General features: G+C 57.1%; 1 protein-coding gene across 6 annotated transcripts in view; it reads left to right on the top strand.

The window, feature by feature from the left end:
• The window catches only part of NXN (nucleoredoxin), a 180,467-nt gene extending 169,703 nt beyond the window's left edge, over window positions 1-10,764 (top strand). For 2 of the 6 annotated variants that reach the window (NM_022463.5, XM_005256758.4), the window contains exons 6-8: window positions 4,827-5,006; window positions 6,268-6,392; window positions 8,943-10,764. In NM_022463.5, the coding sequence (NP_071908.2) occupies window positions 4,827-5,006; window positions 6,268-6,392; window positions 8,943-9,125 (488 nt within the window). In that variant the 3' untranslated portion in view covers window positions 9,126-10,764. Of the gene's footprint in view, window positions 1-1,946; window positions 3,539-4,826; window positions 5,007-6,267; window positions 6,393-8,942 lie in introns of those variants that run through there. The other 4 variants (XM_005256756.5, XM_047436532.1, NM_001205319.1 and 1 more) reach the window with 3 other exon arrangements.
• Window positions 10,765-13,594: the final 2,830 nt, after the last annotated feature.

Raw genomic sequence — 13,594 nt, 5'->3', positions numbered from 1 at the left:
GCCACTCACAGGGACTCGTAACGTGCACGCCACTCACACGGACTCTTAACGTGCACGCCACTCACAGACTCGTAACGTACACGCCACTCACAGACTCGTAACGTACACGCCACTCACACAGACTCGTAACGTACACGCCACTCACACGGACTCTTAACGTGCACGGCACTCACAGGGACTCTTAACGTACACGCCACTCACACTGACTCGTAAGGTGCCCGCCGCTCGCACTGGCTCGTAAGGTGCCCGCCGCTCACACGGACTCGTCACATGCACACGGCACTGTGCGCTCGGCAGTTTTTACTAAACAGTGTGGCGCAAAAATTTGCCGTGTCGCTATGGTCTTTGTAAGGACCATTTTCATGATCACTTAATATTTTGCCTGCTGGTGCGTCCTCACCAGCTCTTTCTGTCCTAGAACCTGCTTTTCCTTCCATTGCTCCTCCCAGCTCCCAGCAATCTTTGGGTAATTCCTCCTGGCTGCCTCAGATCACGTTGCCATCCAGATGCAGAGAAGGCTGGGTCACAGCCCTGCCCGCTCCTCTCTGCCTCCCAGGGTCCTGGACCCCTTCAGCTTCCTTGCCCCAGCCCCCACCTGCTTCAAAACTCCGTGTCTCGTTGGCAGTGGAAAAGTCACCAGACTAAACCGTGGGACAGTCTCGGCGCACCTGGCTTTGAGATGGTTTTAAATACTTGCAACTAGGCTCCTCCTTGGAGAAGAGAGTTTGGAGTTGACTCTTCTGTGTGTTTTGAGGGAGACGGTGAAAGGGGTCTGTAGGCGCCACTCATGTCACAGAGCAGGGGACTCAGGGCTGCGCCCTCTCTAGGAACTTAGAGTCCGTGTTCCAAGCCCAGGAGTGTAGCTTGGGATGGTGGAAGCAAAAGCACGCCAACCCCACCCTTGGCAGACATCACACTGTTGCCGGAACCCTCACCACGGTCTTGACAGTGTCTCTGCTTTCTGCTTCTTTAGCTAACTTCTTCCAGCCCATCACGGAGGACTCTGTTGATCTCACTAGAGCAAGCTCCCAGTTTTCCGTATGTCTGCCTTCTCACGAGCCAAATAATCAGTTTAGGGGTGATTAAAAGAATATAATGGCTGGGTGCGGTGCCTCACACCTGTAATCCCAGCAGTTTGGGAGGCCGAGGCGGGCAGATCACTTGAGGTCAGGAGTTTGAGACCAGCTTGGCCAACATGGTGAAACCCCGTCTCTACTAAAAAATTAAAAAAATGAGCCAGGTGTGGTGGCGGGTGCCTGTAATCCCAGCTACTGGGGAAGCTGAAGCAAGATAATCACTTGAACCCAGGAGGCGGAGGCTGCAGGGAGCTGAGATCGCACCATTGCATTCCAGCCTGGGCAACAGAGTGAGACTCTGTCTCAAAAAAAAAAAAAAAACTGGTTTATAATAATAGCCAATACTTATAGAATACTTACAATATCAATATACCAGGTACTCTGCTAATAAGTGTTTTACACTGGCCGGGCATGGTGGTTCACACCTGTTATCTCAGCACTTTGGGAGGCCGAGGTGGGCGGATCACCTGAGGTCGGGAGTTCGAGACCATCCTGGCCAACATGGGGAAACCCCGTTTCTACTAAAAATTATCTGGGTGTGGTGGTGTGTACCTGTAACCCCAGCTACTTGGGAGGCTGAGGCAGGAGAATCGCTTGAACCCGGGAGGTGGAGCTTGCAGTGAGCCGAGATCGCGCCACTGCACTCCAGCCTGGGCAGCAGAGGGAGACTGCGTCTAAAAAAAAAAAAAAAATGTGTATTTCAGAGAACCTGCTTCAAGGGCTGGGGGAACAGGGCGTGTGTGAAGGGGGAGAAAGGGAAATGGTGGCTGTGGTCTCAGCCTTCTCCCCCAGGAGCAGAGGGAGGTGGGTGGTGCAGAAAGCTGCAGGTACAGGACTTCCCCGCCCTGGTTAAGACAGTCCCCATCGCAGGTGCTGTGAGGACCCCAGAAGCGTCCACGGCCTGGCAGGAAGAGCAGCAGCTTCTGCAACAGGTGGATCAGGGTCCTGTCCCCAGTGTAACCACTGCCTGGCTGGGTGACCCCCATCCCTACTGTAACCACTGCCTGGCTGGGTGACCTGGGGGTCACCTTGACCATCTGTTAGGGGGATCCTGATGCTGCCCGCCCCATCTGTGATAAGGATTAGCCAGTGCCATCTGTGCCGTGCCTAGCACAGGGCAGACGGCCGCAGAAGCCAGTTCCGTTTCCCGCCCCTGGTTCACCTTTGGAGGGATGTGCACTCGTCATGGCTGTAGGCCAAGCTCGTCAGGACCAGCTGAGGGGAGGCAGCCTGGCACAGCAGACATGGGTGCTTTCCCCCGTGCAGGGGCCGAACACGAGTGGCTTCCTTGGGCCCAAGTTGGTTTCTGCTTATGCAGACAGTCACGCGGCCCAACACGGCCCGTCCCGGCACACCTCGTCTTAGGAGGAGCCGTTCCTCGGGGAAGCCCCTGAGTGCTCCTCAGAAGCCAGGTGGGGGCTCCGTGTCCTCGCCATGCTGTCCTGGGCCCCGCAGGCACGGACTCAAAAGAGGCTGCAGCCACAGTCAGGAAAAAGGCCGCTTGGAGGAGGCCCTCGGAGAGCCCCAGGCGCTGAGCCGGGAAATGGGCAGCTTTGCCTTCAGGTTGGCTTCTCCTCCCTCCCCGTCCCCCGTGCCTGCCTCTCTTCCACAGACCCACTCGGCATCCCACGCCGGGGCACACGCAGGCTGGCCGCGGGGCCTGTCACAGCAGCAGGGGCTCTGGTTTACCCCAGTGCTCATAATTGCCCAATTTCAGAAACACCCTACTCTGAGGAAGGACCTTGCCGGGGGGATTTTGAGAAGGGTGTGTGGTGATGTGGAGGGGCTCCTGTGCGGCCAGCTGTCCCTGTGGTGGTCCCTGGCCCGGATTCCCTTTGGGCTGCAGCCTCGAGACCAGCCCCCGAGCCTCATGGATGGACACAGCGGGCATGGACCCCGGCCTCAGGGGATAAAATGCAGCCTGAGGATGTGGCTGGAAATGCCCAGGTTTCTTGTGCGGCAGCACACACAGCTCCTCGGGCACTGTCCACGCTGAGCACACCCGAAAATCCCCAGTGAGAGCCGGCCGCATGTGTGTGTGGGCGCGTGCGTGTGTGTGTGTGTGTGTGTGTGTGTATGTGAGTGTGTGTGATGTCGGAGTGGCTGTTCTCAAGAGCCTGTTCTCTCTGGACCCACTCCCTGATACATCAGCCACTTTGTCTCATAGGTGTGAACATAATGGATTCGTTGATTCCTTTCGAAGGCAGGCACGCCCGCGGTGCTGGTGGCCGCAGCAGGGTACGAAACACGAGGGCCATATGTCTGGTACCTCGGCATCCCCCCGACAGGGAAGGAGAATGTCAGCGGAGCAAATTACTGACCGAATCCTTGGGAATCTATAAATATTAAATTGCTCTGACTTTCACATAAAATTCAGGCTCTGGGCAGCCCAGGAGGAGAGGCGTCTGGAACGTGCAGGGTGTGGGGGGAGCGGCTGCCAGTGGAGAGACAAAGGTCCCCGAAGGGTGGGCCGTGGGTGGGGGCCTGTAGCCCTGGCTGGAGGAGAGGCTGCGGGGAGTGGGGTAAAAAGAACAGAGACACAGAAAACCCACGTGCACCTTGACCAGAGTGGGGCTTTCTCTGAGTTTTCATTGAAGGCTTTTTGGCTGGGGTTGCGCGGTTTCTGGTTTGCAGGCAAGCTTTCTGTTACTTTTCTTCCCCAGCCCTGGGGAAGGGGGGAGCTGGGGTGCAGACGGCGGGGGCTGCAGCCCTGGGGAAGGGGGGAGCTGGGGTGCAGACGGCGGGGGCTGCAGCCCTGGGGAGGGGGTTGTGCTGGGGTGCAGACGGCGGGGGCTGCAGCCCTGGGGAGGGGGTTGTGCTGGGGTGCAGACGGCGGGGGCTGCAGCCCTGGGGAGCGGGGAGGGCTGGGGTGCAGACGGCGGGGGCTGCAGTCAGCTGTCCTCCTCTTCGAGTCTCCGGTGCGGCCAGCCTCAGGTTCCCCCCGGCGGCACTGGCCCTGCGCTCACTGTGGCCGGGCGAGGACCCGTCTTGCATCGGTGGCCACAGCAAGTCCGCCGTGTGGTCACTGCACTGCCTGTTCCGTGTTTGACCCCCAGCAGCTGGGGAAGGTCTTCTGTGTCTTTGGGAGACCAGCAGTGAGTGATTGCTCCGATGCGCCATGACCCTGTGCTAAGTTCTTATTTATTTATTTATTTGTTTAGAGACAGAATCTTGCTCTGTTGTCCAGGCTGGAGTGCAGTGGTGCAATCCTGGCTCACTGCAACCTCCACCTCCCGAGTTCGAGCGATTCTCCTGCCTCAGCCTCCCGAGTAGCTGGGACTACAGGCGCCCGCCACCACGCCCAGCTAGTTTTTGTATTTTTAGTAGAGACGGGGGTTTCACCATGTTGGCCAGGCTGGTCTCCAACTCCTGACCTCAAGTGATCCATCCACCTCAGCCTCCCAAACTCTAAGTTCTTTAACCGCATGAACTCATTGATCTTTCTGTAGCGGAATAAGGTAGGAACGACAACACACTCATCAGGCTGCAGCTGAGGATCCTGAGGCCCTGAAAGGCGAAGGTGACAGGTTACAGGCTGACCCGAGGGGGTTCCATGGCTCCCCCTGGCCAGGCCTGGATTCTCCCCAGGCTTTGTGACTTTAGACCTGGCCTCTTCATTGTGAGCCTGTACCAGGTCCTCGGTGGGCTCCACCACGGTCGGGGGGACCCCGGGCTGGACCCCGCGAGCCTCCTGCCAGGCAGGGCCAGCATCTCCCGGGCCAGCGGCCAAGCACCCCCTCTTCCCTGCAGGCATCCCCACGCTCATCATGCTGGACCCGCAGGGCGAGGTGATCACGCGGCAGGGGCGGGTGGAGGTGCTGAACGACGAGGACTGCCGGGAGTTCCCCTGGCACCCCAAGCCCGTGCTGGAGCTCTCCGACTCCAACGCCGCGCAGCTTAACGAGGGCCCCTGCCTCGTCCTTTTTGTAGGTATGAAGCTCACGGGGGCAGGGGGCGAGGGGTGGCTGGGGGGCGGGACAGGAGGGGCCTCACTTGGGAGGAGCCTGTCCCTGCCGCTTCTCTCTGTCACCAGCAGTGCAAGCCTGGGCCTTTGTCTCTCCCTGAAGCCTTGCTTTTGACCCCAATGATTTATTCATGGCTGGCCCCTGTGGGAGCTGCAGCTGCACTTTCCCTCCTAGCTGCTCCCCAGCTGCCAGCTGGGCAGAATAGGTCAGGCCGGGAGGATGCCCTCGGGGCCCCCATGCGCAGACCCATTGTTGGAAAGGGCGGGTGGCACACACGGCAGCTGCAGGGGCTGGGCCCCTCTGGCCGAGGCTCACCAAGGCTGCTTCTGCGGATCCTCTGTGCTCTGAAGAGCTGCTCCAGCCCGGTGGCTGCCTTGGCTCCTTTGTCCTCGCTTGCACCTCCCCGTCTCCCATCTCACCCAGTCTGAGCTCCGTGGGTAACTGCCCAGCCGGGCCAGGGGGACACAGGCGCATCCATGCCAGGCTCCCTGCAGTCTGATGGGATGACCCTGGTTCCTTTTGCAAAACCTGGCCCTCTGCCTTGGACTTGTGGCTCCCCTCCAACAACTCAAAATCACTGTACGAGCCTGGGTGTGGTGGCTCACGCCTGTAATCCCAGCTACTCGGGAGGCTGAGGCACGAGAATCGCTTGAACCGGGGAGGCAGAAGTTGTAGTGAGCCCAGATGGCACCACTGCACTCCAGCCTGGGCAACAGAGCGAGACTCTGTCTCAAAAAAAAAAAAAAAAAAAAAAAAAAGCCGCTGACCAGACCACAGTCCTCACCCCCTCCCGCTCACCACCAGTTCTTCTGCCATTTTCACTGGGAAGTCGGAGGTCGGAGGTCATGGCTTCTCATTCTGTGGCTGAGAGAAACACTAGCAGGCGCCTCAGGTCCTGGCTTAGGGGAAGCTCAGCCTCCCAGGCGGGTTTGTGAGGAATTCAATGGGAAGACTGTCTACCTGGGAGAGCAGAGCTGCTCAGTGAGGCAGGTTCCTCCTGGGGAGCCCGGTGCAGGAGAGCACTGTGAGCTTTGCTGCTGGGACGCATGTGCACACACACCCATGCATGCGGGGAGCAAGACCTGCATCCAAGGGGAAGTTCATTTCCGTTCAGGGGCCGCTCAGGCGGGCGTTTCTGCAGCTCAGGCCCCCTCGGCGGGTGCCGCTCTGTTTGACAAGCCAGTGCTTTTTCTCCCCGTCTTTTTCTACCCCCGACCCAATCACAGATTCTGAGGATGACGGAGAGTCCGAGGCGGCCAAGCAGCTGATTCAGCCGATAGCTGAGAAAATCATTGCCAAGTACAAAGCCAAAGAGGAGGAGGCACCCCTTCTGTTCTTCGTAGCCGGGGAGGTGAGTGCGGAGGAGAGGCTTGGCCCAGGGCTGGCTCAGCTGGGACTTCTGGCACAGGACTGATCCTGGCCCCAGGGTTGCCTGAAAGGACCCCAGGGTCAGGGCTGCCTGTGCTTCTGAGAGAGCCCACAGACAAATGTGGCAAGGAAAGGTAGCCATTCGCCATGGAAAACCATTCCCTCCCCTGCTGCTTCCTCTTCCCGTCCATGCTCGGCAGCCTCAGGTCAGCAGGGAGCCGTCCCCAGGCTGCTTCCCGCCTGAGCGGCTGGGGAGAGTGGCCGTGGCTGCAAAGTGTGATCCACACCTCCTGGGTCACAACCAGGCCCTTGAGTCTTTACAAAATGCTGGGTTCGTGCCTCCGCGCTGGCTGCAGTGGGCCGATCTCATCAGAGGGATCCTGGCTGGGGCTACTGCTTATACCTGCGGTCACCCAGCCGGCCCGGTGAGTGCTGAGGTTGGAAATTGCTGCCGCTCCCCGTCTGTTTCACCCAGGCTGTCCCTTTGAGGTCTCCAGCGGGGCTGGACCAGGCAGGAGACTCTTCACAGGGTGGGAAAGTGGGGCTTTCAGCAGAGCGCCCTCCCGCAGGTACCCAGTTATCCAGGGCCTGGAACCCTGCACCCTGCACCCTGCAGACGGGCGTCTCCGCGACTCAGCACAGGTGCAGGCTCTCATTCTTGAGCTCCTCCAACCCAGGAGCCTCCTCCATGCCTGCGCTGCCACCTCCCCACCCCACCCCACCCCACTGACTGACAGACAGTTTTGGAGGCCGCCCCCTGCCCTCCATCCACCCATCTGTACCTCCAGTTGGTCAGAGCCCTGTGCTGATTTCACGCTGTGTTTGGATCCCAGGAGAGGCACGGAGGAGGCAGGCGGCAGCCAGACACCCTGTGCCACCCATTCATCACCTCAGCCCCCGGCCCTGCCCAGCCCAGCACCTGGGTCCTTCCCAGGCGGCTCCAGTCACCTGCTCAGCCCGGGGGTGGAGGGGAGCAAAGAGGTTCACAGGCCCTGCCTCGGGGTGGCACTGGCCACTGCACACCAAGCCCAGCCCCAGGGAGGCTGCGCGGCATGCAGTGACTCCAACCCCTGCAGAATGGCTCTGAGAAAAGATGGCTGCAGCACAGCAGGGGCCGGGCACGGGCGGGGGCGGCCTTGAGAGGTGTCAAGTCTGGAAGGAGCATTTGCAGGTTTTCTGTACGCCAGGCACAGAGCCGCATATTTCACCTGGGCTGTCTCCTTCGCTCCTGGCTCTCTGGCTGGGAACGTAGTCGCTGTCCTGTTTCACAGGGGAGGGAGGCAAGGTTCAGAGTGGACGAGGGGCTGCTCCAAGGCAGTTTGCTGGCTCCCGTCTGGCTGGGCTGGACTTTTGTGTCTCCAAAAAATGTACAAAAATTAGCCAGGCATGGTGCTGCATGGCTAGAGTCCCAGCTACTCAGGAGGCTGAGGTGGGAGGATTGCTTGAGCCCAGGAGGTGGAGGCTGCAGTGAGCTATGACTGCGCCACTTCACTCCAGCTGGGGCAACAGAAAGAGACTCTATCTCCAAAAAAAAAAAGTAGCTCCCTTACAAATCCTTTCTCCTTGTCTTTGGATTTCTGTGTTTGCCTTGGTGTCTGCATGAGGCTATGTCTGCTATTAGGGAAATTCACCAGGACAGCTGCTGGGAATGTAGGATAAAGTGCCAGCTTCTTTCTCAGATAAGTAGTGAGGCAGCGTAAGCTTCCACAGTGCTTAAGCAGCGCTGTCTTCTGAACTGGCTGGCTGTGCAGCTCCTGTCCTGCCTGAAACCACAGGGGTGGGAGTTGGAACACAGCGAGCTGTCTCTGTTTAAAAACATTCCAGAGTTGAAGTCCAGATTGGCCTCAGATAACCCACAGTGGGGCTGCAAATCATTGACAGTTGGTTACAAAAATAAACAATCAGAGGCTATGACATTTCTAGACTGGCACGGTGGCTGACGCCTGTAATCCTAGCACTTTGGGAGGCCAAGGTAGGCGGATCACCTGAGGTCAGGAGTTGGAGACCAGCCTGACCAACATGGTGAAACCCCGTCTCTACTAAAAATGTAAAAAATTAGCCGGGCGTGGTGGGCGCCTGTAGTCCCAGCTACTCAGGAGGCTGAGGCAGGAGAATTGCTTAAACCCGGGAGGTGGAGCTTGCAGTGAGCCGAGATCGTGCCACTGCACTCCAGCCTGGGTGACAGAGCGAGACTCCATCTCAAAAAAAAAAAAAAAAAAAAGAATGTGACATTTCTAAAATGCTGAGGACGTATTAAAATGGTGTTGATGCTAATAAATACATAAATAATTAAATACAGACGACTTACCTAGTGGTTTGCAGGGCGGATGCAAAGAGAGAATTTTACAAAGCAGCCCCTTCCTCCGGAAGGCAGGGCAGGGTTCCCTCCTTCCCAGGCTGGGAGCCCTCTGCTTGGGAAACGCCGGCTCTTCAGGGTGCGGGAGCTACCACACCTGGGGAGACTGGGCCCAGGGGACTCTCCCCCTCCTTTCTTTAAAACTTCTTGGTTTTCTCTCCCTCCTGACGGCTTCAGGATGACATGACTGACTCCCTGCGAGATTACACCAACCTGCCTGAGGCTGCCCCTTTGCTCACCATCCTGGACATGTCAGCCCGGGCCAAGTACGTGATGGACGTGGAGGAGATCACCCCCGCCATCGTGGAGGCCTTTGTGAATGACTTCCTAGCAGAGAAGCTCAAACCGGAGCCCATCTAGCGTGGCTCCGGCCTCCTGAGACGTTATTTAAAACTCAGCCTTCTCCTCCTCCCCCTCCTTCCTTCCGCCCTTGGACTTACCCAGCGTGCCCCGAATCCCACCACCCAAGTGTCCAGCCTCTCTGTGGTGCCTTGTTTCTGCAGTAAACTCCTCAGCCAGCACCCTGGGGTGTGGAATCAGCAGCGGCAGAGTCCACCGTGTTTGGAGACTCTGTTTGGGAGCACGGGATGGCCGGGGGCCCGGCCAGAGCGGGGCTGCATGGCTTTCGCAAAGTCACTAGCTTTTGGTGAAGGATCTGCCAGGGTGTCCTGGGCAGAGTGAGCGTGGAGGGCCGGTGGGTCCCGCTCGGGCTCTGACTCTGACGTCGGCACACACGGCCCCGGACGGCCAGAGGGGAACCGCCGGGTGACACCTGCGTGGAGGCTGAGCTGAGAAAGGGCCTCCGCTTAGAGCTGCGGGTGAGGACGTCCTTTTCTAAGCAACACAGTCTTCCTCGGTCTGAGAGAAAAGCAGCCCACTCTTGTGTTCTCAGGCAGGGGATCTCCAAATGCAAAAGGAAGCTTGTAGAGGTTTTTTGGGTGAGAAGAAAAATGTAGCTAAGGTAATGGTTCATATCATACAAACAGCTCCCACGATCCTGAAATTCTGTTAACGAATCCTTCTCTTTGGACATCTTCCCAAGAAACTTAGCCCTGAGTCCTAGGAGGAGCACCTCTGCACCAGCACGGACCTCTCGCTCCACCCAGCTCTGTGCCCAAGGCCCCTGATCTCTGCTGAGGTGCCCACACCCACGTTCGATCACCCCTGCCATTCCCTTTTATTTTCTTTTTTTTGAGATGGAGTCTTGCTCTGTCGCCCAGGCTGGAGTGCAGTGGCACCATCTTGGCTCACTTCAACCTCCGCCCCCAAGGTTCAAGTGATTCTCCTGCCTCAGCCTCCCGAGTAGCTGGGATTACAGGCACCCGCCACCGTACCTGGCTAATTTTTGTATTTTTAGTAGAGATGGGGTTTCACCATGTTGGCCAGGCTGGTCTCGAACTCCTGACCTCAGGTGATCCACCCGCCTCGGCCTCCCAAAGTGCTGGGATTACAGGCGTGAGCCGCCGTGCCCGGCCCCCTTTTCTTTTCAAAGCAGAACTACAAAGATGAGAAATTACCAGAAGCCTCGCCTTTTCCTAAGCACCAGCGGAAGGAGCTGTGCCCCGGGATGGAGTGAGGGTGGAGGGCGCGTCAGCCACGGGTGGGCCTTGTGTCGCCTTGTATCGGCCCAGGTAGGTTGTTGGCCTCTTACTTGGGCTGACCTGACCCCCGAAAGAGAAACAGACAACTCTGTTCTCAGGATTGGGGATGGACGGCTTCGGCCAAGCGTTTTAGCCTCATTCACTCAGGCCCCACTCAGCACTCTGCCAGCCAAGACCATTGATTTGGAAAATCCGGTCCCCACCCGCTAATGAGCTGTTGACACTGTTGTTCCTTGCTGAATTGGATTGTTGACTTGTAGTTCAGAGGCGTACAACTAGTTGGCGATTAGACTTGTTATGTGATGTTACCAGCCTGAAATGCGATCACCCCGTAGGAAATAAAGCAGGCATCTCTGGACCTCATCCACCCTGGGCCTCTGCTGTCCTTGATCACAAAAGTTGTTTTTGCTTGTGGTCCTGTGCTCTATCGGGGTGGGCAGTGGAGGATACCTGGTAGCTGGGAGCTGAGTCCCAGGAGTTTTGAGACCCCCAGGATGTAGCATCTGTCACATCCTCTTGGCTTCCGGCAGCCAGGAAGCTCATTTGGATGACCGTGGCAGAGGCAGATCCCTCCTGCAGCCCTGGCCACCGTCTCTCCTGGTTTGACTTGGCCCTGGACGGAGGGTGAATCCTCAGATCGCGTACCTTGCTGTGGACATTCTTGCCCATTTCCTCCCTCCAGGGGAGCCGAGTCCTCTGAAGCCTGAGAAAGCTGGTTGGGAGAACAGGAGGAATCACGCACGGGTCTCCTTGTGAAGAATGGGCCAAGTGTGGGAGCCTCTTAAACCCAGCAGGTCCCAGGCTCAAGGCTTCTCTGGGAACGCTGCCAGAGTCTCCCTTAGGGGTCGGGGTGGGTGGGATGAATGTGGCCGACCTGAATGTGGGAGGTGGCAGGATTTCTCTCCATGTATCATGATGGCCTCGGAGGAAAGGTGGGTTCTCTTAGCAGCTGCTTACCTTTGGGGCAGGAGGAACAAAGTCCAGCGAGGGGGTTGCCCTAAGTCATTGCAACTGGATTCTTGACACCAGAATTCCCCTTTTAGAGTGGGTCTGTAGCTTCCTTAAGACCCGTGGGGAAGGTTTACTCCAAAGGTTCAGGTTTATACAGTGACTGCTTTGCGGGAAACCGTTAGGGAAGAATCACTTCTGAGTGTCAGGGATCGATAGTGAGAGGTCGTAAAGGCCACAGATGCAGGCGAAGTGGGTGGCATGATAATCCCCGCCAAGCAGCTCCACCTTCAGATTCTTGTTGCTAATTGGAAGCAGGTTCAGCACCAGCTGTGGCATATTCAAGGGCTTCCTCCGGCAGCCAGGAAAACCAGGCCCTGCAGGTGGAGGCTGGGGGCGGCTGTGAAAACGCCACTCTGTGGTTCCCAGATTTGTGTTTACCACAGTGACTTCCAGATCCCATCCATTCATCCTCACAACAGCGATGAGGGTTTTTTTTTTTTTTTTTTTTTGAGACAGAGTCTCGCTCTGTCGCCCCGGCTAGAGTGCAGTGGCACGATCCCAGCTCACAGGTTCAAGCCATTCTCCTGCCTCAGTCTCCCAAGTAGCTGAGATTACAAGCGACACCACCGCGCCTGACTAATTTTTGTATTTTTAGTAGAGACGGGGTTTCGCCATGTTGGCCAGGCTGGTCTCGAACTCCTGACCTCAGGTGATCTGCCTGCCTTGGCCTCCCACAGTGCTGGGATTCCAGGCGTGCGCCGGCACAGCCAGCCTGTTGTTGTTGTTTTTTTTAACCTGTCTTCCCAACATTAAAAGCCTGTTGAAGAAAAAGGGTATGTTTTCCACATTGAATTCCTAATTGGGAAAAAAAATACTAAAAAAAGAGAAAAGGGTATGTTTGGGACCAGCACATACAGCAGATGAAAACCAGCTTCTTTTCCAGAGCGAGGTGACTTCCTGCTCTTGCTTTTCGCCCCTTGGTACGTCCTTGAAATCAATGGCCATCACTTACCAGAACGCAGGGAGCGAGTGCTGTGTTGGCATCGGCCAAGCTTCAAATAGTAATTTTCAGCCAGACTTTGTTTTTTCCTGTTGCCTAATTAAAGACACTGAAAAGCTGTTCTCCCCTCCTGCTGCCTTGTTCTAGGACAGCAAACTGAATTCAGGAACAATACAGACGGAGCCGGATGTGGCCCAGGAGCAGATGCGCGGGACCTAACACGGTGTTGCCCCGTGCAGCTTAGGGAGGAAATGCAATGTATGAGAGGACACACGTCTGGGAACCCTGCACACTGGGAAGCGTAGTACCAGCAGGGCCCTGAGCGAGGGCACACGCTGTTGACGGTGCCGTTGCCCTGGGCAGGCCCATGTGTTGTGCGCGCTGTGGGTGGCTGTGCACACAGGCCCGCAGGTTCAGGAGTAGCACTGAGCAGGGGGCTGTGAGCTCAAAGGATCTTTCCAGTTTGCCCCGAAGCAGCTGAATGAGAGAAGTGGGCACTTGGCTACACCCCTCACTGCTGCCGCCAGCAGACGAGGGCACACGCCCTGCTTCCTCCAGGCTGCGGCTGCGCAAGGGAAAATTCTTTGGGAACAAATAGCTGTTGACCAGTAGCTTCATTAGTGCTGGGAATATAACATGAGGGCGTTCTAGGTACACCTCGTATGTGAGCGCATGAAGACAGGTAAGTATGCCTACTGCCATTTTTCAAGGCGTGTGTCTCACCCCCTTGGTGCTTTGGGACACTTCCCAAGCCCGAGAATGTGTCAGGAGGTTTGGGTGGAACTGTTGGGTTTCTGTTAAACGATACACAACTCGTGAAAGACTCTGTCCCCAGGTCTGTAGGCCAGTGTGCAATCCAGAGGCAGAGACGGCCTCCAGTCCGGATTCCGGGTGCTTATGCCTCACTCACATGAGGAAGTCACCCACAGGTGCTAGAATGACGACACAGTAGGAGACGTGATCTCAGGGCCAAAAAATCCATCTCTCGAATGTCAGAGGACATGGAGGTCCTACTTGGCAGGCTTGCAGTGAGTACGCCCCGCCCTCGGCATCTCAGAGGAGCAGGGAAGGGAGGCTGAGGCCGGAGCTTGCTGCAGCCGTCGGCTCCTCCCTCCCCAGCCTTGTTCCCTGTTCCCTTCCTGCATTTCTTTTTTTTTTTTTTAAAGACAAGAGTTTCACTTTTGTCACCCAGGCTGGAGTGCAGTGGCACGATCTGACTCACTGCAACCTCCGCCTCCCACATTCAAGCAAGTCTCCTGTCTCAGCCTCCCAAGTAG

The sequence above is a fragment of the Homo sapiens genome, chromosome 17, assembly GCF_000001405.40.
Source record: "Homo sapiens chromosome 17, GRCh38.p14 Primary Assembly".
Classification (NCBI taxonomy): Eukaryota; Metazoa; Chordata; class Mammalia; order Primates; family Hominidae; genus Homo; species Homo sapiens.
Note: the sequence above shows the minus strand (reverse complement) of the source record. Positions and strands in the feature narration are given on the sequence as shown.